Source organism: Homo sapiens, chromosome 1 (genome assembly GCF_000001405.40).
Source record: "Homo sapiens chromosome 1, GRCh38.p14 Primary Assembly".
Classification (NCBI taxonomy): Eukaryota; Metazoa; Chordata; class Mammalia; order Primates; family Hominidae; genus Homo; species Homo sapiens.
In genome coordinates this window covers 198,991,056-199,018,977 of record NC_000001.11, presented here as the reverse complement: position 1 = coordinate 199,018,977, position 27,922 = coordinate 198,991,056, and the positions used below count along the sequence as shown (strand labels likewise).

The following is a 27,922-nucleotide window of genomic DNA, read 5'->3' as shown; positions in this document are numbered from 1 at the left end:
CACAAAGGATGACAGCTCAGATGGAAATTAAGCAGGGGTAACATTATGGGCAATGCTTGGAAGATGGCAGCTACTTTTGGGTTGGTGACCTACAAAGACTTCTCTGAGATGGTGACATTTAAGCTAAGATTTACGTGTCAAGAAGGAAATAAGCATAGGAAGATAAAGGGGGAGCAGCTGTGACCATAATGCAGAGGTAAATCTTCAGATATTCAAGGACATTCAAGGGCCAGAATGTTACCAGTATAGCTATCACACCCTGAACTAAGGAAGTTCAGGGTGTGATATGATAGGAACTAAGGAAGAATGATAGGCATTGACATTAGAGAGGCTGAGGCAGGGACCAATCAAGTAGGGTGTTGAGCAGCCAAGTAATTTGGTTTATCCTAAGTGTTATGGAGAGATATTGGAGTGTTTTAAGTAGCAGAATGGCATAATCTGGGTTTCATTTTAAATGGATTACTCTAGCTGTTCTGCAGGAAAGTGGGTATAGGTGGGGAAAGGAGATGAAATCTATATTCATAAGAATTACATGTGGATACTTATATGTGCAGATTCACAGAAAATTATAGGCATATTGAATTTAAGACATTTAAATTTTAAAGAATGTACTCATGATAATGATAATGTTGAAATTATTACCTTGCAGAGAAGCACAAAATCAGAGTATATGCTTTAAAAATCTCCCATTCAATGAAAAGCTATTGAAAGTAAATTTGTAGATTTTTTTAAAGTATTTTAGCAAACAGCATTATGAAAAGTATATTTACAATAATGCAGAATTTAATGTGTTCCTTTAAATAACGTATGTTATGACTTTTTTGACAATAGCACTTCACAGGCTTTATGACTCATGCTTTAAAGTCATATTCCAAAATGACAACACAAATTGTAGTGAGTGAATATGTTTTGGATGTAGACTGATTCAATAGCAGTTTCTGAATGCTAAATGGAATGGTTTATACTTAAAGGAAGCATATTAGAGAGTAAAGCATTAATTTATTGTGAAGCTTTTATTCCTTCTTTTATTTTTGATATTTTTGAAATAGACTACCATTTTTAAATCTCTTATCACAAAAGATCATTTTCATCTTACTCTTAGCAATTTAGAGGTGTTTATCAAACACATTTGGTGTGATACTGGTTCTACCAGGGTTATATAGTACAGATCTAAAAATGTTATTTTTAAAAACCATAGTTCTATAGATAAATAATATTTGAATAAATGAAAATTTAGAAAAGTGTCCTGAGTCTCCGTTACATCTAAGCAGTTTTCAGAACAATCTTATATCTTTGATACACTGGCACCTACTGCTATTAGGAAATGAGCTAATTAGTATAGAATAAGGATATAATAATCATGACTTCTCAATATAGACAGAAAACTAGTACATGAAGACATGTTCCTAGGAGAAAACATGTATAAATCTGCTTATATTTTAATGGTATTACCATATGTAATATTAAACATTATTCCAATTCTCTTTACTATTCAGCAATTCTTATGAAAGTACAGCTACCTTTCACATACAACATGGATGCTCCACAAAGCATAAACTCAGCCCTAGACTATCTTCCTGTTAATAGAAGATTGCTTTCATTTCACTTACTATTTTTATAGACTTTTTTGAAAAACTAAAAAAGGTTAAATTTTTATTTTATGCCCTTATGTAAGTTAATCAAAATCATTCTCCCAATGCAGACAACAGTTATGAGTGTAGCAGATAGAATGTTCATTATCAGTAGAAGACAAATATTGTAGACAATGGAGAAATAAAGTTAAACTGCTTTCCTTTCATTTTAATAGTAAGGCCCTTGTAAAACCTTTAGAAAACTATTATTTTTTACATAAAAATTAATTTCTAATTTTTTCTAATACTATGTATTTATATCATTCCTTTAGAAAAAACTTCTTATATTTCACAATGCAAAGGAGTTTGAGCAGGTTCTGAAAAAATAAATAATTGGAAGTATGAGTCTATTTCTCTGCAGTATTTACTAGTGTGATACATTGCCCACTAAGCTTGTCATTGTATAAAACAGAAAGTTAGCATATATTTTAATCTTCCTAGCACCGAAATATTTAGGCTCAAATATTTTGTAAAATGTTATTTAGTTAAAGTATTTATTGAGCTATTAACATATTCAAAGCAACGTGTTGGATCCCTTGTTTTTAAAGATGAATCAAATAAAATTCCGCGTTTTAGAAGGTTATGGTCTAAAAGAGAAGATAAGCACCCATAATAAAAATGTAAAAGAAGTATGTTCATAGAAGCAGATCTAGTAAGGTGATGTTGGAGTTGAGAGATGGGATAGATTGCTTCCCAAGACATGAGGATACTTCTTGGAGTAATTGGCATTGAGTTATAATGTATGGTAGAGTTAAAATATATGATCATATAGAGAAAGACTTTTCAGACATAATGCAAAAGCAAAAGGTGAGTAGTAGTTTTCTATTGCAGAATAAGAAATTATCACTAATTTGCAGTTTAATATAACACACATTTATTACCTTAAAATTTCTGTGTATCTGGAATCTGGGAAGAGCTTAGCTGAGTCCTCTGTTTGGGGTGAACAAGATTGCAAAAAGGATTTGCCTGGAAGTACAGTCTCATCTGAAACTCAACTGGAGAAAGATTCATTTTCGTTGGCAAAATTTAGTTCCTTGCAGTTAAAGGACAGAGAATTTCAGTGTCTTGTTGATGTTCAACTGGAGACCATCCTCAGCTCCTAGGGGCCACCCTAAGTTCCTTGTCACAATGGTCACCCAACATGCAGCCTACAACATGGCAGTGTAGTTCTTTAAATCCAGCCAGGAAAAAATAAACTTTAACAAGATGGTCACACCATCTTCTCTACATAATCATAAATATGTAATCACATTCCCCCTGTCTTGTATCCTATTGGTTAGAAGCAAGTCACAGGTCATGGTCATACTCAGGGGAAAGTACTATTCAAGGCCATAAATGTCAGGAGATGGGGATGATGGGGGGCCACCACAGAGCCTATCCACCACAGGGTGGAAGGTGAAAGTTTTGGTTTAGCTGAAGGGTGTGACACATGTACGTGGGACAATCAGGTTGGAAAAGAAATTTGGGTTCAGGTTGTGGAAAGAATTGAATGCCCTACACTGGAGTTGAACGTTATATTTTATATACAAGAGGAAACCATTGTTACATTTTTGAATAGTAGGGGAAACTTAATGGAACTAGGCTTCAGAAAGTTTAATCTGGAAATGAGTTGTAAAATGAATAAGGAAAAAATAATTGGTTTAGGAATAAAAGTTAATATATTAACTTGTTGAAAGAATGAAATAATGAATATTGTAGAAAATATGACTATAGAATTGGAATTTAAAATGAAGCTTGTTTCTTAAACTGAATTACAAAAAGGAAGGGTGATCAGCAACTCACCCATTCCTTACCAGGTCAAAATTACAGGCTTCCCTTTATACACGCATGTAATGTAAAATGTTCTTTGGGAAATGTCTCTATAAGAAGGAGAGGTAGGTCTGTGAGACACTCAGGTGTGGAAAATGAGACCTCATGATACTCATCAAGGGGAAGAAAGGTGAACCTTGTAAACATAAGATACCATCTTTAAAAGACCATATATTAAAAAAGAGTAACAGTAGTATGTCTAGGAAAATACTGGATACTGGATGTGCATTATTTTGTGTAATTAAAAAAATTTCACTCTATTGGAAGCACCATCAAATTAAAGAAACACTGACTTTTCATGAGCATCATATAAGGGAAGTGGAAATCAGGATAAAGAAATAGGATAGGTGGAAATAAATAGAACTTGACAGTAAAGAAACATCAGAGAGAGATAATAGTAATAATTGACATTTTTAATGTAGGCAATTAGGAGGTTAGTAATAACCAGAAGGATATGTTGGAAAAAGAGTAGGTTTTAGGGCTACAAGAAAAGTATTGGCTTATATATACTAAATTTAAATGGTTTTCAGAACTGTTGCTGAAGATGTACAATGCACACTAGAACCCACAGGCAGTCAGGAGGAGACAGGTGGATTCTTGGAAGTCACTAGGTAAAGGTGACAATTGAGAGTATAAGACTGAGCAAAATTACCAAGGAAGTGAGTGTGGTTAGAGAAAAAACAAAGACTATGAGCAAATCTTTATAAAGTATCTATATCTCAAAGATGGGATGAGGAAGCAGAGTTGGAAGAACTTGAGAGAGAAGAAAAAGGAAGAGTGATCCTAAAGGTAGTTAAAAACAACAAAGCGAGTAGAGTAGTAGCTCAAAGGAGAGAATCATCTAACTAAGAGATGCAAAGTTGAATCTTTAGAGTGGTCAAGCAAATATTGCAGCAAGCCAAGTCTAAAGTAATAAGAAGGCATGGGACAAAGAAAAAGTGAAATGCATGTGACTCATATAAAGTAACTGACTTCAAAAGAAATATATTTTTTAAAAACAATGTCCTTACGGAAAATACATTGCTATCTTGATTTGGTCCACAGGGTGCCTGTTGGTGATCTCTAGTCTGTAGTAATGTATAATCCAGAGAACAGAAGTAGAATGAAATTGAAGAAAACCATTGTTTCACAAGTAAGAGTTTCTTAATCATCTCTTCGTGAGAGATGTTTTATTAAATGGTGGAAGCAGAAACTGAAGCGTAAGATTTAAGGAGAAAGTGAGTGATCAGGAAGCAAAAACCTTGTCTGATTTTATAGTAATGTAAAACTTGAAAAAACTCTGTCATGTAGTCGTGAAAACAGCCATGAGAAGGTTATGGCTGGTCACAGACAACAGGGGAATGATGAGGCTAAATACTGTGTCCCCATTGGAGACAACAAAGAGCTTCATGAGGCTAATGCAACAGTCAGAGCTGGGAGTGGGAATCAGCAGCAGTAGCCAAGGAGCAGAAGTCCAGCCAAACCTATTGAATGGTATCTTGCTGGTGAGTAGGCTACTTCAAAATCACTATCCATTCCACCTCACCAGCTTCCCCACAGATTTCAAATGCCACCCAGATTTTCAGTGAATAATTTACCTTGGGAAGGCGATGAGAAGTTATTAAAGGGGCAGTGGCTTGATCAGCTCCTTGGGTGCTGCAGGTTTGATTTTTTATTCTTAGAAGACATGAGTCCTGCACAGTTGTGGAATGGATGGGGACAGCCATGGTAAGGAGTTGTATGCCAGAAACAAGAGGGCAGCTTGGTGGAATCAGGCCCTGGAGCAGGACCATGGGGACTGGATCCCAGGCATAGGTGGAGTTGTGAGCTTTTGAGATAGAAAATGACACTTCTTTCTCTAAGTCTGTAGAAGAAGGAAAGTGAATACCTGGAGTTAGAGATACATTTGAAGTGGAGTAGAGGTATATCAGATAAGCTCCCACTGGAAAGTTCTGGCCTCTTTAACATCAGCCTAATGACGGGAAACACTGGGAAGAGCCATGACACAGGTGACCTGGGCATGCCTGTGTTAGGTGTTCAGTTTTAACCTGATGAAAAAGGTGTGGTTTTCATGCTGCTAAAGAACAGTGGCTCATGTTTCACAGTCTGCCCAACTAACTTCATGCTCTTTGCTTGGGTTCAGTCACTCAACAAATGTTTACAGAGGTTCAATAATATGCTGTATTGCAAAGTGTTTAAAAAACTTTATTGTTTATTTTTCTGACTAGAAAAGGAATATTTTTTCTTTGTAAAAACCTATACAGAAGAAAAATGAATAGAATATCATTTAATAAGTATTTCTTGAACATGTACCATGGGTTGAACCTCATATTAGCAGTTAGACACGCAATAGAAAACAAAACTGACATGACCTTGCTGTATAAAACTTATAACCTAGTGGAAGAAACTAAATTCTGCCCAGACTCTCCCATCACACCCTCTCCAGGTAAACACTATTTCGTTTTGTGTATATTCTGCCAAATATTTTTTATATTTAATATACTTCAAATAGTTTTCATCACATTCTATGAGTTATATTTTTTTCCTTTTTGCTGTGTAGAGATTAGGGTAGCTTCATGCTACATTCAGATACTAATTTTGAAGTTTTAGACAAGATGACCAAAAAAGGATGGCAAAGAAGGAGCTTAGAGCTGAAAGGGATTTCAAACGTGATCCCTCTCTTTACAATCTCTCTTTGAAATCTTCTTATTCAAAGCTGTATAATCAAATAGGTGCATTTACATGAAGTAAAACACATTAATTAATTTAATACATTTTGAGTGTCTAGTTTGAGCAAGATAATATTCTAAATATGGTTTACTCACTAAAGCAAATTTCCAAGAAAACCTAATTTTTTGGAAACAAACAAAACCTGTGGAGAAGAGCTAATAATAAGTACTTTTGCAAAATTCGTATGCTCCAGTTTAAAAAAAGAAAATTAGAATTCAAAAAGGGAAAAGGAAGACAGAAAATTTCAAGCTAATCTGGAGTGCGGAGAGGCAGATTTCTTGATTTTTCTGGCTGCAGTCATATACCAACATTTTAGTTTTATTCTTCTCTTGTATTGGAATAGTGGCTGTTTTAAAGATACATAAGCATTTATATTCTCTGTCAGCTATCTATTTAGGGATAAAAGAATTTACACACCAGAGCACATGGGAAAATGCATGCATGATGATAGAATTTTACAAATTTATTTATTTTGGGTTGTTATAGCCCTTCTACCCTTTATTCTCATTCAAACTCCCACTTTTTAAAAAACATCCCATCTACAGGGAACTGCACAGAAAATGTGAAATTGGTAATTCTGCTTACTCTGCTGCAGAAGAATGTAAGAAATAGCTACAGTGTATGTCACTATAATTTATGACAGGGCAGTGACAATAACTTAAGGACACAGAATAGAACCCAACTACGCACCATTAAATAGTTGATGAGCTTGGAGTATATCATTTTGTTGATATTTCTATCTCCAACACTCAACAAATTATTGCCCCTGCAATTCCCTACATTTTTCACTTCCTAGAAATGTCATGTATAATCCAACATAAAATGGAGACCATTTGTGCACTTTTCACTCAGTTTGTTACTGTAAGAAAGATGTTTTAAGGTAAGAGCTAAAATATTCAATCCAATTCAATAAAACATTTATTGAATACCCAATATTATGGCTGCACTATAAGAAGGTACAGTAAATGCTATAAGCGAGGTCTTAAATACAAAAAAAAAAAAAAAAGGAAAATGACTACCTCTTTATGGGGAAGAGCTGGTTGGTATTGAACAATTTCTTTCCATAGGGCTCACAAGTGTCTTGGCTCTCTAGCATCCTTAGGAAGGAAACCTAAGAGTGATAAACTAAAACTAAAATAACAAAGGAAAGTATGATTTAGGAAATTTTACCCATAAGGTCCGACCTGCTGTAAAACAGTAAATATATCTAAATGTTTGGTTTTGTTTGCTGCCAGTAAAGAGGCTCATTAGAGTTGGAGATGTTATCCTAAAGTGTTTTCAGATAGGATCTCGGTGGCATTTCAGTTTAATCCTCCCAATTCTTTAGGGGACCACTCTGAATTTATCTTACAAGGGGGCAGTAAGCATAGAGAAAAGATTACTTCTCTCGGCCTTTCTCTAACCAGATTTTTGGTTATTCTCAGACAAAAGGAAAAATGTATCCGCCTTCAGAAGTCTGTCTACAAAATATTCTCTCCTATTTGTGTTTAAAGTGTCATCTCTCAGGAACAGCAGCTCTCTATGTTACAGCAATTCCTTTATTTATTCATTTAGTTACAACCAGCGCTTACTAACTGTGCATGAGGCCTGCAGGAGAAGCCATCAAAGTATACAGGGAAATAGTATAGAGAATATTAGGAGGATGAACACATAATCTAGGAATGCTCAGCCTAGACTTGAGCCACCAAGGAAGGAAAAGCATGCTGAGACTGGAAGTACAAAGAATCATGTGAAGTGTGTGTGTGTGTGTGTGTGTGTATGTGTGTGTGTGTGTATGTGTGTGTGTGTGTGTGTGTTTTCCCAGAAAGTTTCAAGCAAGTTGACAGAATGTTCAGTTTAAGAGACAAGTGAGATTCCTTTAGAAAACGTCTAGGAGCTTACAACCTTGTGTTATGTCACAATTTGAACACTATGTGTGGCAGGTTTTACATAAGCTCTCTGTACATGTGTCTAAAGAGTGAGTGCACAAGTTGAGAAAAAAAAATCTTTGCTACGTAAACACAGGCTAACTTGCTTGATGTGGACAGAATGTGGGGAAACTTGGATCCCTGAACATCGTTGCCTTTAGATTTCATCCAGGCTACTGAGTTACTGCATAGTAGGAGTTAACAGATGGCTCTGGTTCTGACCCTGGCTTTTGCTGTGCAACTTCCTGTGTTATTATCTGTGTGACACTTAGAAAGTTAGTTCACCATTGGAGCCTCAGCCTCGTCATCTGTAAGTTGGGAATAATAGTAGTACCTATCTTAAAGGGTGGTTGTAGTCAATGAATTAATACATGTAAAAAACTTAAGACATTGCCTGACGTGTCTCCTTGTAAATGTTCTTTTTCTTTCTTTATCTTTTCTTTTCTTTTTTTTTTTCTCACTCTGTCGCCCAGGCTGGAGTGCAATGAGGCAATCTTGGCTCACTGCAACATCTGCCTCCTGGGTTCAAGTGATTCTCCTGTCTCACCCTCTTGAGTAGCTGGGACTACAGGAGGGTGCCATCATACCCAGCTAATTTTTGTATTTTTAGTAGAGATGGGGTTTTACCATGTTGACCAGGCTGGTCTTAGACTCCTGACCTCAGGTGATCCACCCACCTTGGCCTCCCAAACTGCTGGGATTACAGGCGTGAGCCACCGTGCCCAGCCATAAATGTTAATTTTAATTATCATTCTATGTTAAATTTGTTGTACAAGTGTGAAAAATAAAATTAACCCACTGACTTTGAGGGATGTATATTCTGATTATCCCTTACAGTGTGGAAATAAGTTGTCTTTAATGAAAAATAAAATACTTCAACAAGTTCCTTCTTAGTAACACCAAACTAATGGCAACATAATGGACAGAGTTTGCTTTAACTTCCTGAGATAAATTAAATCACTACATTTTAAAATAACTGAAATGGACTCTCTCTCTCTTTTAAATAATATTTGGGTTTAGGCCCTAAACCCAAAGGCCTAATTCTGCTTGAGAGCTCTTTTAAAATATGACCTATTTCTTTCAAGTTTCTCATTTTATTATTTATCCTCTTGGAGCTCTCAACTTTCAAATAAAAGTGAATGTATTTCTTTTAAATAAGAGGAGGTCTGTGCAGTGCACACATCTAGATTCTGATAGTGCCAAGAGAATTTTTTTTTCAAAGCAGCAGTTCATGTTCAGCCAGCGCCAAACGGAACTTAAAGCTCAAAGGGTTTGACTAAATTTAGAAACCACGATGTTCAAGTGGTTCTAAATTTGACAAAGCAAACCAGAAGCTAACCAAAATCGCACATAAAATGATCTTTTCTATTATGACAACGGATTGGACAAGATATTATTATGCTAAATTTAGGAAAATCAGACCAATAACTAAAAATGAGCTACTTAAGGCTGAAAATAAATGTGTTCCTATTCCAGAAGAAGGAATTCTAATATCTTCATGAATATTTTGAATGATGTTTCCGATGTTATGAAGTTGAAAATATCAAAATTACTAATCAAATTTAAAAGAAGAAAAGAAAACTGTTCCTATCAAGTATGTGGTCTCTCTGGCAATGCTTCCAATCTGAGTTTCAATATTCTCAAGAGCAGCTCATGTTTGACAATACTTCATAAAATAAACCTGAGTTGTCTACCTGATTTTCCATACCAAGCCTATATATTTCATACATAATATTACACAATGATATGTTAAACAAAGTTGATTTAGTCCTTTTTCTGTGTCTTATAATTTTAATTGTGTGTAACATTTCTAATTTGTGTTTTATTCCTAGTACACACATTTGCTTCATTCTGAGCCAACCATCTAGTACACTGATAAAAACCTGCTAAATTGTTTTTCCAGGGCAGAAATTTTAGGTTGAACCAGGAAAGGCAAGATTAACTGCTAACATACTACAGTTATACTTTAACATTATGTGAAACTATTATTTTAAGAAATAGTGAAACAATTAAATGCATATGATGAAATTTTCTATTTTATTGCAAAATAAAATATAGAATATGGTATTTATTAAGTTTTTGCAATAGTGCTTTAAAATAATAGTAGTGCAGGATTTTACTAATGTCAAAGCTATAACTGCAAGTTAACTTTGAGTCAAGTTAAAGGTGAAAATTATGTATTTTCTGAGAAAAAGAAAATTGCAATTTTTAGAAACCACTTTACAGTCTAAATCAAACTTTAAGAGAACTACTCCAGTTTCACTGTGCGTTCCCTAGCCCTTCTACTGGCCTTTAGTGTAACTACCTAGCTTACCTAAGGTTCTCTATTGAAGTAAGAGCATTTTCATTTCAGAATTCCTGTGATCCGGTACATACAGAAAAATATCAAGAGAAGTTAAATTTTAAAATGATGGACCTTTTCCAATTAGATTACTTCTGATCAATACAATGTCTGATTTTTATAAGATGACAACTAAAATTCAAATTCGGATGTCAAAAAGGTTTAAATAACCCTCCCTCCGATCTCTGTAAGTATACATTAGATGTGGGAACCAATAAAGTTTTAGACAAGGAAGATTATTTCATGTAATGGGAAAGCTGAAACCTTAACACTTCTATTGTCTACCTGCCTTACTTCTGAAAATAATTTCTTGCAATGTTCCATGAACATTAATGCATCAGTAAATTACTTTGGATCATGAATTTGTACTGGAAACGGTACCAAAACTCTGAGTTTTCTGTTGGTTATTTATCTCTAAGTTCATTACACAGTATTTGAACAAGGCACAAAGAGCCAAATTAAATCATACTGAGTAATTGCAGGTAATTGCAGGTCATTCTTTACTGTCTACAGGTGGATAAAAAACAATTTATTTGGGGATTAAGAAAAGTATGTTGATGGTTTTCTTATCACAAAATATATTTTTATTGTAAGGACTTAGAATATGCAGATAAGCAATATAATGACAATATATCCAAAGATAACTAACATTAATATAATCTGGGGGGTATAATAATTTTATACATGTTTATAATTTGATTTATATTTATCCAGTGAATCAGTTAGGATCCCATCAAGAGAGTAAAAACACATGGTAATTTGAACAAAGAAGTTTATGAGAATTTTTTTTAACTGTAACAGAGGTTTGAAGTAATGAGGGATTTGCAAGCAGCAGTAAAATAATGTTAAGAAACACGGGAATACAGATATATGGACTAGCCACTATCCCTAGGGTTGAGCTAGAGATGGGCCAAGGGGCCAAGTGAGCACACCATGACCACAGGCACTCTGCTATTGCCCAAGGGAGAGAGCAACAGGGAAGTGGCTCGCTTCTATGAACTGCAGGAGCCATGTGCAACAGAAACCACAGGCTCCCAAGAGTGAGGTTGGATGAGTGTCTGAGTAAATGAATGAGTCTCATTTTACTTACCTGATATTTTCTATCAACCTCTAATTGATGATTTTCCTTTCCTCTTATTGTTGTCTTCAAGGTCTTCTTCCTACTCTGTACTCTCTCTGGGGATCTCTTTACATCCCACAGCCATTGAATCTTAAAAGTAATACAAGAAATAATTGAATGAAATTTCCAAGGACTTCAGAATATAGATCACTTTTTTTCCCTAACATCTAGAACAGTATCTAGCGTATTGACAATATCCAATAATATTTGCTAAATAAATAAAGAAAAATGCACACTGAAGAGTCAACATCATAAATGAATAAAAACATATTCAAAAGTATATCATTCTGAAATTGTACAATGCATACAAATATTTGATGCTAAAAACTTCTACAAAGATAAAGAAGATCACATATGGGAGTTACAACATTTAGACTTCTGAAAGAAAATTAATTCCAACCTAGACTTCTATGCTCCATTTAAAAAATTAATCAGAAGACACAGATTAAGTAAAGCAACTTACAGATAGGTTAGATCTAAAAATATGTATTTGTGATACACCCTTCTGTAGGAAGATATACATCACCAAAATAATGGAATAAATAAACAAGACATAGGATTAATGAAAAATGATTACAACACAGGAGAGGTTGAAAAGAATTCCTGGAATAATGTTGAAGGGAAATCCTAAGACATCAGCCATTCTTCAAGTCTAGAAACCCCAAGGCTATTGAGAGCATGAAGACTAAGGAATGAATGTCTCCAGGAAACAAAAAAGGAACCAATGAATTCATGACACATTACCTGGTGAGACTGACCATAAGCAAACATAAACAAAACAATTTCCATAGGTATTTTATTGTTTGGAATGTAGCAATTTATGAAAAAGAAGAGACGAGTATTAACTCCAGTACAAACAAAGAGTTATTTGGGTAAGGGTGCAAATCTTAGTAAATGACTTGGTTCAGAAGTAAACAATATAACACAACTTTTAAAAAGTTGAGGGGTGAAGACTGAAGTGGTAATTTAAATACAAAATTCTGATACAATTTTATTGAGAGGAGGGAGAGAGGAGTGGAGAGAATTTGGTATCATGGTGAAGAAGTGCTAATTTTAATGGTGCATAAAAATAAGTCATTGGTATCAGTGATACATATTATTTTGTAATATGAAGACTGAAGAAAGAGAAAGGAATATTTTTCTATTTTATTTTGGTAAAAATTTTTATTTCTATTATCTCCCTCCTTTCAATAAAATTGTATCAAAATTTGTGTTTAAATTACAGTTCAGTGTCCCCTCTCCCTCTTTTGTCCCTGGGGGCCAGAGTTTTTATTATTATTTTGAGTTATTGAATTTTTAAAAACTAACACATATTAGTTTTTGAGATTTTTTTCTTGTTGTTCTTGGGTTATTGACAGCAAAGGGGTGGAGGAGGAGAGAGAAGATAAAATGAGCAAATAAAAAAATGGTAAAGTACACAATTACTGGTTTCTAGGACTCTTTTGTCACTAAACTGAGCTATTGCAATAAGGTTCCTGCTGATTTTTCTATCACCAATCTTTCCCGTTAATTCCATCTTTCACAGAGCTTCCAAAATTATCTCCTAATAACAGATCTGGTCATTCACTTTCTTGTTCAAAAGCCCAAAACAACTACTGATTGATCACGTTAAACTCCTCTGTGTGACATTTAAGGCCCTGTCTAGTCTAACTCCAACCTAACTAGAGTTTATTTCATTATTAATCGGTGCTATAAATCTACACCCTGGCAATTAAAGATTATTTTCTCATCTCTAAATAAGACAACCCCTTTACACTTCCATCCGTTTCTCTTTTTTTAATTTCAATAGGTTTTTGGGGAACAGGTGGTGTGTGGTTAAATGGATAAGTTATTTAGTGGTGATTTCTGAGACTTTGGTATACCCGTCACCCAAGCAGGGTACACTCTACCCAATGTGTAGTCTTTTTTTGTTTGTTTGTTTGTCTTTTGAGATGGAGTCTTGCTCTGTCGCCCAGGCTAGAGTGCAGTGGTGTGATCTTGGCTCACTGCAACCTCCGCCTCCCGGCTTCAAGCGATTCTCCTGCCTCAGCCTCCCGAGTAGAGTAGCTGGGATTACAGGTGTCCGCCACCGCACCCGGCTAATTTTTGTATTTTTTAGTAGAGACAGGGTTTCACCATTTTGGCCAGGCTGGTCTCGAACTCCTGACCTCATGATCCACCTGCCTCAGCCTCCCAAAGTACTAGGATTACAGGCGTGAGCCACTGCACCCAGCCTCCAATGTGTAGTCTTTTATCCCTCAACCCCCTCCCACCCTTTCCCCCAAGTCCCCAAAGTCCATTTCTTGGCCCAGAGTTCCTATCATTTGCTCTTCCCTCTTTGACCTAACTTATTTCCTATTTTTTTCATACACAAAATGCTAAAGGCCCAGGAAAACTTCTCCAATCACCTGCATTGACATACCATTTTTCCTCTTGTGTTGCCACTGTGCACTGTGTTTTTATTATAACACTAGCAACATTTTGTTTTGGGTCACAGTATGTACCTTACACCTATCTGGTCCACAAAACAAAATTCCCTTTTTCCTTGAGAGGAGAATCTGTGTCTTACTCAGAGGCATACTTCTGTGAATGTTTATCACAATGCATACAAAGAGTAAGTATGCAAGAATTGCTTGTTGAATTTTAAACAAAATATTTTAAAATTGCATAAATATGTATGCCTATTTACTGTTAATATTCATAATGAGTCTATCAAAGATAGTGACCAAAATGTTCTAACTATAAAATGTTTTCATGATTTGCCATTTATAAGGAGAAATTCAAGACTCGGCAACCAATTGTTTTAAGGCTTCCAATGACTCATAAAATTATTCCAAAAGTTATAGAAAACTTATGTTTGAAATTATTTATTCAAAAATTATTAGCAAAGCCCTAACTAGTATCTCCCAAATATGTTGAAATTAAATACAATATGAAAATCCAAGGTCTCATAGGTGTTATTAATAGTGGCATTTTTATTAGCAAGATAATCTATTCAGTTCTATGGAGAATACAAAACTGAGAAAGTCTTAATAATTGTAAGCTAGAGACCTATAGATTTTAACGCTTGACTTTTTTTTACCTTAATGCTCATTCTTTATTTATTTTCTTTTTTAGTTCTTTTAAAATTTCTATATAGTTCACGAGAGATAGCAATCTACAAATAAGGACACTTTGCTAGGTATCCCCCCCTTCCACCCATTCTCTTTCTCCTCTAATAATTTATGAGTTGATCGAATACATCAACTTTCAGATTTGATCATGAGTACTTTTTTGGAATAGTCCAATTAGCCTTGTTCTGCTAAATATGTCAATAAGAGGAAACCGAGTGTATTTTACAGTATGTTTTTCAAGCATCTCTCCACTGCAGCTGTGTCAAGTATACTCACAGCAGATGTGAATAATGCATGCAGTGCTGTTTCCTAAAGCTCTATCTGCAAATCAAAAATACTTATTATTAGAGACATAACAATTTTTACTCCACGTATTTTAATATGTTTTATAAACTTAATGAAACAACAACAATTGTGACAGGTCAATGTTGAAAGAAGAAATTAAGTGTGCAATGAGTGTTGCCCTTAAAACTTAGAAGCTTCCAGATTATATGTAACTCAACATTTCTTGAATGATTTTTACCACCCTGGTAAGTATGAATAAATTGGGGCAACACTTTCATAAATGCCAGGTTGTGAAACTATTTGAGATTTAAAAATATTTGAATTCCAGAAATTAAAAAGTGAGTAACAAATAATATCAATATAAATTATTTATCAATAGTCATTTTAAATGTCTCTGCAATCATTTTCCTATTTTATAAGCATCTATACTGCATACCATCTGCTGATACTTATTTTAATTCATAAAAAGACTATGTTTAAATGAAAACGTAAGTGACAGAATCAGAACAAAAGGGAAAGGGCAGGAGAATAAACTGAATAAATTCCAAATATGACTTCTAAAGGCAGACAATATAAAAGCTGTAATCTTAGTTTAAGCCTTACACTCCTTAAACACAGTAATTACAAGACATCTGCTGGGAACACAGCTTTGCTATTGGATAACCTTAATTGCCCTGTAATATTTCCTGACACTCCCCAAAATATGCCCCATTGCTAATAATTCATTCACATTTCAGCACCATTATTAGCTACTAATTCAAACAATCAAGACAAAGACAATAAATGGATGACCTTGAACAATTACCCACTCAGTGAACAGAATTTATTTTGTGCTTTTCAAAGACGTAACTGCTTTCCTGCGACTGTGAATAGCACTCCAAAATCAGGCAAATGCAGACAAGAGAAAAAAATCGTGGCATAAATGTAATGTTCCTTCTGATACTCTTAGAGGACTAGTGTTAAAACTTATCCACATATTATGCTTTCTCTAAGAAAAATAAAAGGAAGTATGAAGTTCAAGCAAGAAACAAATTCTCTTTGTAATAAATAGAGATAATTTAGTCAGGAATAGTCAAGTATACATTCAGTTATTTCTTTTTTGTTTCAACCTGTGAGAACATTTAAGAATCACATAAATTCAGAGCCAGGAAAAACATTCACTACTCACAGCAAAATGGTGGGAGTTTAATGGACAGCTCCTCAGGGGGCTCCTCTTGCAAAATATTTTAAACACAGTCTGCCAAGTTAACACTCCCTCCCCCTCACCTCCTCCTTGTTTCTCAAGAAATTTGAATTTTTAAAGAAATGTTGTACTCTTGGCCTTTTCTAATATGGAATGCATTAAGAGAAAACCCATAAATAAATGCTTACATATGCTTGTGAGAAATAAAGCAGACACCTCAAATTGATCTATTTGCCAACAAAGGGGAGGGGGAGCAGGCACAACCGAAAACTAAGGCCAACGAAGTAACAAAGATATGGGTGAACCTATGTTATCACTGTATTTCTTGGATGTATTGTGGGGCATATTCTGGTTTGGTGTGATCCAGTTATAAATGCAAGAAGAAAGGATGTAGAAAAATGGGTTAAGCAGAGGCATTCCAGTAGGGAAAGAATTTTTGCATTTTTTTATGGTCTGAAAAATCCCAGCAAAAATATTGAGTTTTTAAATATACAATCAAACAAAGAAAAAGCAGGTTTTGAATTCTCTTGACAATATGTGATCCTATAAAACAATTCTCATAACATTACAGAAATTTGTAATATATATATCTTAAACAGCTTTTGTATATGAAATCCTCTAATTCCTTCTCTGCCTTTTCCTCCTCCTCTTTTTCTTTGTTCTTCTCTTTTAAAATTTTATTCTTATGGATTTCATTATACCTAAAATTCATAATATTATAATTTTTCCCAGTGTTTAGAGAAAAAGTTTTGGAAGACAATTATTTCTAATTGTGTCATATTCCCCCTCCACCCCAGTGAATGTTTGCCAAGGCATTTGAAAAGTTCTATCATAATTTTTCACATAGAAAAAAAACCAAAAATATTACTTATGTAAGCATTTTATATACATTCAGTTCAAAATTTTTATTTTAATTATTTCAGCCTAATAAAAAATGAAATAGAATTTATCCATACAAACCTTACATAGTCATTTGTTTGTTTTGGAAATTTCTGTGTTCAAGAATTTTTTTATACAACATTAGAGACACTTATGTTAGACCACATATTATATAATACAGAAAAAAATTATTTGATTGTATAAAAGCAAAAAGAAACTCTACCAAAATGATAAAGAAACAGGTTAGAAAGCTGAGGGTGAGAGGTTGAGGAAGAACCTGAAACATTTATTCCTCAACAATTGATCAGAGGTGTACAAAATACACAATAAAAAATCAAGCTTAAGAAAGTCAAAGATGATAACATATCACTGGGAGATTCACCTAAGTCCAGAGGTGGTTCTAGGATCACTAATTATGCAAAACACTGAGGGGGAAAATAATGATCGATTATCTACATGTTGGGCTATGTACTAGAGGCTTCTCATAAAATAGGTTTCCATTTGAAGACATTATAATGTAGTTAGAATGACAAAATTAATACCCAATATAACCCAAGTTTCTTTTACAAGCCTCAAAGTAGGTATTAATAGGGTCACTATCGCATGTGTACACATGTATGTGCATTTACAAAAAGGATTTCAGCTTGCTTCCCTCAAGGTTTCAACTTACTATTTCTAGAAAACCCAGAGGAGAGTCTTCTGTGTACTTCACACTAATGTATTTTCATTCCTTCCTTTCTTCCTCCACATTTCCCTTTTGGTACTTAAAGTCCCTGGAAGGTGCAATCTTCCTATGATCAACAACAGCCTCTGTCTCGGTAAGAAAAGCCAATGTCCGCACCAAGGGCATGATTACCCTCTGCCCAGCCTTGAGATTCCCAAAAGTTTCTGGGCTTCTTATTGCCCTCCCTGTTTTAAAGCAATGAGGAAATTCTTCTGTCCTCCAAGTCATGCTACGTATTGCCCTACATAAAACTGAGTGAGCCCTGTGTTTTCACAGACTGCCTCCTGGAACTGGTGTTTTCCTTTAGGATCTAGACATGAGTTCATTCTGCAGCTCAGAGAAAATAGACCACAAGCTATTTTCTCCATGTTTCTTTCTCACCTGGTGGCTCCATGCAAACATTTTTACTTCATGGAAATGTCCTCATGTAAATAGTATTGCATGCTTATCATTTTGAGGTTCTTTACCTATGGTCTCTCCTTTGATCCACAAAAAAAGGTGATGATGTAGTTGCTCCCATTATCCCCATTTTGCAGATGGTAAATTATAGTTTATCAAAGTTGAATGACTTGGCCAAAAGCACCAGGTAGTAAGTAGTTGTGCATGGTCTCAAGTCATGCAGATTCCATATTCTAGGCCTAGAATTGTCTAGATTCCTAAAATGGGCACAATTTTGGGTACATTGGAATGTCTGCTACACATTTGAAATTGTGGGAAGTAATGTAAAAGATTGTGCTGATTATACGCACCCACATGAGAAGGTGTCGATGCAAGGAAAAGGCAGCTCCAGAAAAGGCTCGTGAGTCCTGAATTTATTAAATCCTTGCTACTTGTTTTCTTTGGAATTACTAACCACTTTTCAGCATGCCTCAGGTCAAATGAACACCTCCATGCTGCTGAGTAGACTCTATGAGGCTCCTATTGTAATCCCTTCACTAAAGAAGCAAATTTGGGCATCATTAACCTAATCTAAGAATTAGATTAGTGTAACTTGCTCATGGCCATATAGATGTTAAGTGGCAAAGCTGAGTTTCAAACCCAGGCAGTGGGGCTTCCCCAAAAGAAGTGCCCATGCAGCTAACTTCATGACATTGCACAACAATTTATTAAGAAAAAAAGACATAAGCCTAATTTACTGTGTGTCGTATATAGTTTTTCAATGTGTTATTTCCCAAAAGAGTAACATCCTAAAATCTCTACAATAAGCTTCAGATTATTTCCAAACAAGGGCCATGGTCAGAATAATTGAGTAGAAAAACTTCTTTGATTCTTCTATAAGAAAGCAGCGCACCAGCATGGCACATGTATACATATGTAACTAACTTGCACATTGTGCACATGTACCCTAAAATTTAAAGTATAATAATAATAATAATAATAATAATAATAATAATAATAAAAGAGATTAAAAAAAGAAATCATGTTAGGAATATTAAATGCTTAGCATACAAATATTATTTAAACTAAACAAATGCATATCTAAAATGGACCTTTAAATGGATATTAATAGTTTTCTCAAGGACTTCTTTTGGGAAAACCTCGCTGCCTGGGTTTGAAACTCAGCTCTGCCACTTAACAGCTAGATGGACGTGAGCAAGTTACTTAACACTTCCTCCTCTGTAAAATGGGTTATATAATGTGACCTTCATCATCTACTTGGTAGGAAACTTGTTCACATGTGTAAAGTATTTAGAGCAATATCTAGGCCATGACAAAGTCTCTTTAAGTTGATTTTTTTTAATTAATGTATGAAAAATGACCTGGAGCTGCTCATTTGAATCAGACCACCCGCTGTCCCTGATTTTTTCTGGAGTCTAATCCAGCCCTGCCCTCAATAAGTATCTAGAGTGAAACTTCCGGCATAATGTATAGAGAATAAGCAGTAGGAATGAATTTCAGACCACAACCGTAATTTATTTATAGCTTTGGAACTCACTTACTGACATATTCTTGATATTTGATTTCCATTTAATTTTGGCAAAATGCGCATTTCCCCATACAAAGAAAAAGGTCCAGCATAGATAACTGGCTATCAAATATCCAACTCTTGCTAAATAGCATTTTGATGAGAGGAAAGTAAATTAATCAGACTCACTGTGATTAAATCTCTTTAAAATTGCGCACACACACACACACACACACACACACACAGGGAAAAGTGAACAAGGGCTTTGTAGAAATCCATTTCAGCAAAATCTTAAATATCATTCCACAAGCTCATGGAATGTCTTGGACTTGCTTAAAATGGATGCATTGTTGAGCTACACAATTCTTTTCCACTTTAGAGACACTCAAATACATTTATATATAAATTGCTTTTTCTGTAATTTTATTAAAAGAAGAAACCCTAGGTGAGTTTCTTTTTATATTTGTATAACAAAAATATTAATATCCACTTAAAGGTCAATTTAGATATGCATTTGTCTACTTTAAATACTTGTATGCCAAGCATTTAATATTCCCAACATAATTTCTTATAAAAGAATCAAAGAAGTTTCTCTACTAACTTATTCTGACCATGGCCCTTGTTTGGAAATAATCTGAAGTTTATTGTATAGATTTTAAGATGTTACTATTTTGAGAAATAACACATTGGAAAATTATATACCACAGTCCATGAGGCTAATTTTTTTTCTTAAAAAAATTTTGTGCAATGTTATGAAGTTAGCTTCATGGGTATAAAGATAAGGGGCATTTCTCTTCTAGGATAAATAAAATCTCTGGAAAGATACTCAATTGTCTTTTTTAATTTGTTTTCTTCTTCATCATCTTTATTTTTTTAAATAACTATTTGTTTAAAGTGACATTGTGTAGATTAAATAATTTTTTGCTTACTTGCAACTTTGACATTTCCTTTTCAGAAAACCCCAAAGTTTTCAGCTAAAGTTTAGGTTCTAGTTTTAACTGCATACTTTTGTTTTTCTCATATTTTATTTCAGATACTTAGCCAACTTCAAATTAGATTCATGTTTTCTGTGCTTTTTTGAAAAAAATTCTGCAATTTCTATACAGATATGGATTATGTATGTTCAGAAAGATTTAGTGAGACTAAAAAGATGTGCTGTACAATAAGAACCTCATAATTTATCCTACAAAATTCTCTTTAAATTGTTGCCATTTTTAAAAAGTAAAGTAAAAATAAAATGCATCAAGCCTAGCATGAGGATAAGTGAATTTATTTAAATAACAAGGACTCTAAAGAAAACATGACTTCAAGCAAAATTACCATTTTGGATGACAGATCTCATTATTGCTGCATATTCAACATGTTTGACCAACCTTCAGTAGTGCAAAATGCAAAGAAAGGCTTGTGCAATCACTTTATGAAATATTTATTTAGGAAATGAAAGCCCAGTTCCATTTATTAATTACATTTTTTAAGAAAATCATTTGGAAACATCCAAATGTTATTATTTTATCCAACAAGTAGTGTTGTTCTTTGATCTCACATCTTAAACTCTGCCTACATGAAATACAGAATGCTTTGGATACTACAGTCTCACAAGGCTCATTCTCAAAGTATGCTCTGCATGGACCTTAGAGACACCAGATTTCCGTTTCTCACATTGGAACCTAATGTTGCCAGACATCAAATGAGTAAGCTCAGGCAATACCACACATAGGAGCTCGTCAATACTCCAGAAAACTGTAGAACGATCAAATGGGTCAGTTGGAAAAACAACTAATAGAAGGAAGGCTGTGAAGTGAAAAAGGCAAGATCTAGGTTCCAATTCCAGCCCTACCACTTACTGCCCTTACCCATGTTACAGAGTATTAAGAATTATTGTCATTTTAGGTCTGTGTACTAGAGTGAAACTTTTTTAAAAAAGCTGAACAAAGAGTCAATCTATAATGTCTACGTGTGAGAAGGTAAGGCCGAGTGAGGCCACCTGGGTCTGACGACAGGGCTTAGGAGCACTTTGGTCTGGATGCCATGCAGAAGATGAGAAGTGAATGCACTGATCCTAACCAAATGACAGAGTCCAGAGAATGAGGTAAATGGCAGCTAATGAGAATGTAGCGAAAGCTTGTCTTGAAATAGAAACCCATCAAGTTCTGACAAAGTCTACAAAGAAGACAGATGGATATAAACGTCTTTGCAAAGAAAGCATCTAAAAGATAGCAATAATTAGTTCTAGTTTCTAAAATAATGTAAGAATTCTCACCTAATTAAATTAAATGTTGGCAGGGATAAATCTTATAAGCTATCATTGATGCATACATTTAAAAGTGGATTATAGAACACATTTTTTTCCTGTGCATTAGGGCAAGTCATGCTCACTTCGGAGTGCCAAAATTTGCAAATAAACATATATATATATAATATATACATATATTACATATATGTGTACATACATATATGTAATATATACATATATTACATATGTGTACATACATATATGTAATATATACGTATATTTTATATGTGTACATACATATTATATATGTAATATATATGTACATACATATATAAGTAATATATAATATGTAAGATATATGTTTATTTGCAAATATATATATAATGTGTGTGCATGTGGTTTTTATTTTTCTAAAGTTACTATTGTTTTAGTGTTGCACATACTTGTGTCTCTGTTTACTGTAATACGTGACTATTCAGTAGATACTGTATGCTGGGCACTGGGTTAAATATTAGGAATGCCAAAACGTGTCTGCTCTTGAGGAGCTCTCAAAATGTTTACCAGAGACATCGTAAACATACATAAACTTACACTATCATGTAGTAGGTATTCTAATAGATTTATGTACAAAGTACTATGGGAACACAAATGGGGAAATAATTCTGATTGGGAAAGAGGGGGGCCCATTTTTAAAGATACACAGAGAAGATCTGTGATTGGGGCATTGAGGAATAGAGAATATTTTATGCATTCTAGAATTTAAAAAATACTATTAAAAAGACGAGCAGGCCGGGCGCGGTGGCTCACGCCTGTAATCCCAGCACTTTGGGAGGCCGAGGCGGGTGGATCATGAGGTCAGGAGATCGAGACCATCCTGGCTAACAAGGTGAAACCCCGTCTCTACTAAAAATACAAAAAATTAGCCGGGCGCGGTGGCGGGCGCCTGTAGTCCCAGCTACTCGGGAGGCTGAGGCAGGAGAATGGCGTGAACCCAGGAGGCGGAGCTTGCAGTGAGCCGAGATTGCGCCACTGCAGTCCGCAGTCTGGCCTGGGCGACAGAGCGAGACTCCGTCTCAAAAAAAAAAAAAAAAAAAAAGACGAGCAATTATTTATTTCAGTTGCTTAATTTTAAACATGAATAAAATGAGAGTTGGAGCTGTTAAGTAAGGTGTTGAAAGGCACCAAAAATAAAAGGCAAAGAGAAATAAAGTACAAGGATTTCCTTGGTTTTCAGGTCACCGGACTTTCTATTTCACACAGGGACTCTATCACTGTTCAGTGGCCCTGCCTTCACAAATCCTACCCCTAGGTCCAGTTGAGGCCAGTTAATATAAGTACAAATCAGACCAATTCATATAGATCCATTACTGAATGGGAAAACACTTAAACTCAAATCTCTATTTAAAGAAGACAATGATTCAAACAACCTAGAAGTAATATTTTTAGTTGTTGTTTCAAGATGTTCCCATTTACTTACTTCACTTGCTAGGAAGTATGATGTTTATCTATATACTATTTGCTTTGGCATAAAAGAAGTATAATACGATTTCTTTTTTATTAGAATGCCAGAAATCCTTAAATGACAAGTGTTATTTATTATTTAGAATATCCCTTGAAACCCATAACCATCTGAAAACTACTTGCTAGGATCTGGCAACTTTGAATTGGGCTTTTTGCCATTTTGACAGATGGTCAGAAATATAAGAAGCCAAAATACCATATATGTGCACTGATTGTGAAAGTTTTGGGTGTGATTCTCAGCTTAATCACCCACATGGCTTTCAATGCTGATTTACATGACCATGATTAAAAAGAAGAGCACGGAAAACACACACACACACACACACACACACACACACACACACACACAAACAGCTCTTCACTTGGTAGCTAGATATAGATGCTCAAGTTCTTCTGCTGCCTTGTAGTTCTCTTGATAGATAGTCCATGTTCATTTTCAAAGCTACAGAAAAGTGCATTTTGAGTATTTGTAGGCTTCTGTATATTTCAAGCATATGCTTTTATTTGGATGTACCTTAATCCCAGAGCAGCCAGACAACAAATTTGGCACTCAAGTGTGGAATGTAGCCATATTATGCTCTCAGATGGTATGAGCAGAACATTTATATGATTTAGATTTAATATTTTTTTATAAGAAATATATTTTATTGCAAGTTTGAATATTGGTTACATGGTTACTCCAATTTGTATTTAAGGTTTTAATAGAATAACAAATAGCTCTTTATGTTATTTTGGTCACTTGGAATAACTAAATTAGTTTGGCCATATGGTGACCAAATGGCAATTATTAACTGCTCATTGATTAGCTATTACAATAATGCAAATATAACCATATTTGGGTCAATTTAGTTAAGTTACAGAAAATCTACCTTTGAATTATACCACCTATATAATCTTTTTTTTAAGAATTCAGTGATTGAACTCAATTAATTATCACTTTCAATATAACTAAGATGAATACAGTTATTCTGTTAACTAAATGCTGATATGTTTATTAGTATCAGTAGAAACCTTTTACTGCATGTTGACTATATATTGCATATTAATATAATTTTAATACATGCTAAAATGTATGCAGTATTTATATCATGAAAATTGTCTAATTCTACAAATTCTTTTGATTTCCATTAAGTGTGGTCTTCATTTTATTTCTTTCAATCATTAAATTTAAAAAGGCTTAACATTTCAACAATTATTCTGACATAGAGCAAAACAAAAATACCTATTTTTGCCTTTAATTTTAGCACACTGATTATGATTCAGTGTTAATGTTAACATTTGAAATATTAAAGGATTAGATGACAAAATATAGTATCTTATTTTCTTATTGTTTATTTTTATTAAATGAGAAATTATATAGTTTTATGGGATATAATACTGTGGAATCTTATGGGATAATATGTGGTACACATTTAAATAAATGAAAAGAATCAATACTTTCTGTAAAATTACTGTACACCAAATAAGATAATCATACTAACTGATCTTTCCCTTTCAGGAAATGAAATAGGAAAGATGATTGGCATGGCTATGTCCTTGTCTTCATCAAAATGCCAGGAGTATAATAATCACTTGACTCCTCCATTCTTTCCCAATTTGAAAAATTATATGTAGGGGAAGATCTGGCACATCATGTGAAATATAAACTTTATACTTACTACTCTTTCTTCCCACCCACTTGCCCTTCAAAATGAGACATTACTTGATTGGTTATTTGAGGATAGCGGTAATTCAAATGCAAATAGAGACCCTCTTTTGCACTTGAACTCACCATGAGGCACCTCAGAGCTCTTAATAAATAGGCCACAATGTAAATTCTTTAGAACTAAACAAAGAAAAGCATAGACAATCTAGATTTTCGTACATGAATCACATTTTTACAAGTATATAAAAATTAAATCTCCTACTAGTTGGGTGGGATGTAGAATTAGAGAAAGGCAGTTTAATTTTTTCAGTCTTTTCACCTTTGGCTCAGTAATGGCTAAACTGGAAGGAAAACTGGAAGGGAGCAATTCTTCAATTTGTTTTTCTAGTAGATTTATTTTCTTAACCTAATCCCTACATATACTGTGTATAATAACACAACACATCATATCAAAAGAGTTTCAAAGATTAACTGGGTTATTTTGAGAGGAAGTAAGTGCTTTCTCACTATATATATATATATATATGAAATGTTTATAACATGAATCTCTATATTAATGTTAATGATATGTAATGTTAATTTATAAGTATATATTCTTCGTAGTTTGGTAATTCTACTTTGGTATATAATAGCATAAAGCATGTAGAAGTATTGATGAAGTTTTAAATCTGATCAAGAAAACATAGATGATTTTTCCTAATAAATGTTGGGGCAGAGTTAATGATATATCCTTTTGGGAAAGTGAATACATATAAATAAAATCATAGAAACACAGAAGGTACTATCGTAGTAGATTATTATAATACTGTACATTATGTTATGATAGTTTTCAAGCAGATAAACATCATCTAGTTTCTTTACAGACAAAAGAGAAAGTGAAAACCTTATATTAGATACTGAATGTAACAGAAAAGAGGAAAATTGTTAATATGAAAATCTTCTGTTTATTTCCAGATGATCTCTTGTGTGCTAAAATTCATTCTTTATCTTACAGAGAAAAAGAATAAAGATCAGGATTTTCAAGGGCCATGGCTTATAACAGCCCAATACAGCTGTAAAACCTACATACAGAGTTAGGATCTATGTGATGTTACATCAGAGTAAAAGAAGAAAATGTATTCAATATTGTTTTTTAGAAAGTCATTCTATTGTAATTTATGATTCTCACATCCATTAGTATTGCAGAAATGTCACTCTCAATAATTTTATGTTTTAATCATAAAAATGTTAAGCTTAGAATAAGATTTTTTTTTCTAACTGGTGGATTGTTTTCTATTTCCCCATGCTAGGGAAAACCTTAGATTGCTAATGTTAATACATAAGATAGGATTGATATTACAATGAATTCCTAAAACAGCTGATCTTTGATTTAAAATGCTTATGGTGTTTCTATAATTTAGTCCTAAGAGGAAAAAAATACTCTCTCTCTCTCTCTCTCGTTTTACCAATTCTTCTACTTGAATATAAGTAGAAAGGCAACTGGAAGGGGACTGCAAAATATTAAAAGCAAAACCACGCCCTGTTCTCTGATGTCATCCTATGCATCTTCATTCCTTGGCTACTCACGTTGTATACCTGAGCCAGGCAGATCTTCCTTTGCTGTCTCAATAAAAGAACAAGAAGAGGTACCTAGTTTTAAAATAATGAATAAATCTAAGACTTTTAACAAAAAAAACTAGTATATTAATTAATATCCTATTGTATTTCCCTGAAGTCAAGAGATAAGTCATTTTTCCTATGGTGTTAGGTCTTATCTGATAATCAAAGTGATACAATGTATGGGCCATTTCACTGAAGATTCATTCAGCATGTTCTTGCTTATAACCCCCTGTGTCAGTGTATAATCTTGTGTCAGGTCATACAGTTCCCACGTTGTACTATAGTATTTTCAACTTTCTATTGGTTGGCTAGGGCTTACTATTACACATAAGGATTGTTAGTCTTCTGGTAATTGACATTTCATTGGGGCTGGCTGAGCCCACAAATGGGCATTAAACTTTAGATGTCATGAATTTTGCTCTTTGAAAATAATGATTTGCATTAGTTTTTTTTTCTTGCTTAGGTTGAGTTTATCCTGAGCACCAGTATTCCTTTCCTCTATGTGTTTTAATATGTCACTTTGGGTGAAGTATATTTGTTGATGTGAATTAGCTTTTGAACATCCTCAGCAATGAATTTTGTTGCATTGTTTGTGTTTTCTTCAATTCTTTGCCAAAATGTGATTCAATTTGTACTCTTGAGTTTACTAATTATTCACTACACTGCCAAATGGGCCTATCATTCCAAATTTTATTATATATTTATAGAGTAATAAAGCTCTATATAGACAACTAAGGCACCATAGTGCAAAGAAATTATCAATTCAGTTGCTGATTTCCCTGTTTCCCAAATTTATTATGTATCAAGAAAATGTGTAAAAATAGTTACGTATTCCTTTTAATTGTTCCTTAAAAAGCCAACTTGGCACCATGGGTGCAGGATGAATTTTATTTCTTCTTTCATTTGTTACTGTGTCCTGTGTTACAAGTGCTTATGCCATAAGCAAAATTTCTTCAAGGTAGCTTTAAAGGGGTAGTGATATTTTAAAAGTTTAGATTCAGGAAAACCCTGATGTCCTTGGAAGTGTGTAGCTGTAAGAATTGGCAAACATAACTTACCTGTGTAATTCATTTTTAATAAATGCATTTTGAAAATAAATACGAGTTAATTAACTTTTTACTCGTCTACTGTGCTTCTCATGCACTAGACATTTCTACTTTAATGAGATCGTTTGAATTGAACTCCAAACATTAAACTATGTTTGCTTCTTTTATTATTACCATGCTATTTATTGGATGATGTGATGGCAAATAGACACTTTCTTTCAGAAGCTGGTAGAATTTTTGTGTGAATTTATAGGATTAATAAATTAAGATGAGTCTTTAACTTTTGCATAGC

The 27,922-nt window shown here is 34.0% G+C and overlaps 2 long non-coding RNA genes across 2 annotated transcripts in view; one reads left to right on the top strand and one right to left on the bottom strand.

Annotated features, from left to right (window-relative positions):
- LINC01221 (long intergenic non-protein coding RNA 1221) overlaps positions 1–2,845 on the bottom strand; it is a 60,603-nt gene extending 57,758 nt beyond the window's left edge. The window contains exon 1 of the long non-coding RNA NR_126351.1: positions 2,513–2,845. This is a non-coding gene — a long non-coding RNA (long intergenic non-protein coding RNA 1221). The remainder of the gene's footprint in view (positions 1–2,512) is intronic.
- LINC01222 (long intergenic non-protein coding RNA 1222) lies at positions 14–26,389 on the top strand. The gene is made up of 3 exons (NR_110525.1): positions 14–196; positions 10,410–10,584; positions 25,980–26,389. It is a non-coding gene; the product is annotated as a long intergenic non-protein coding RNA 1222 (long non-coding RNA).
- The last annotated feature ends 1,533 nt before the right edge of the window (positions 26,390–27,922 follow it).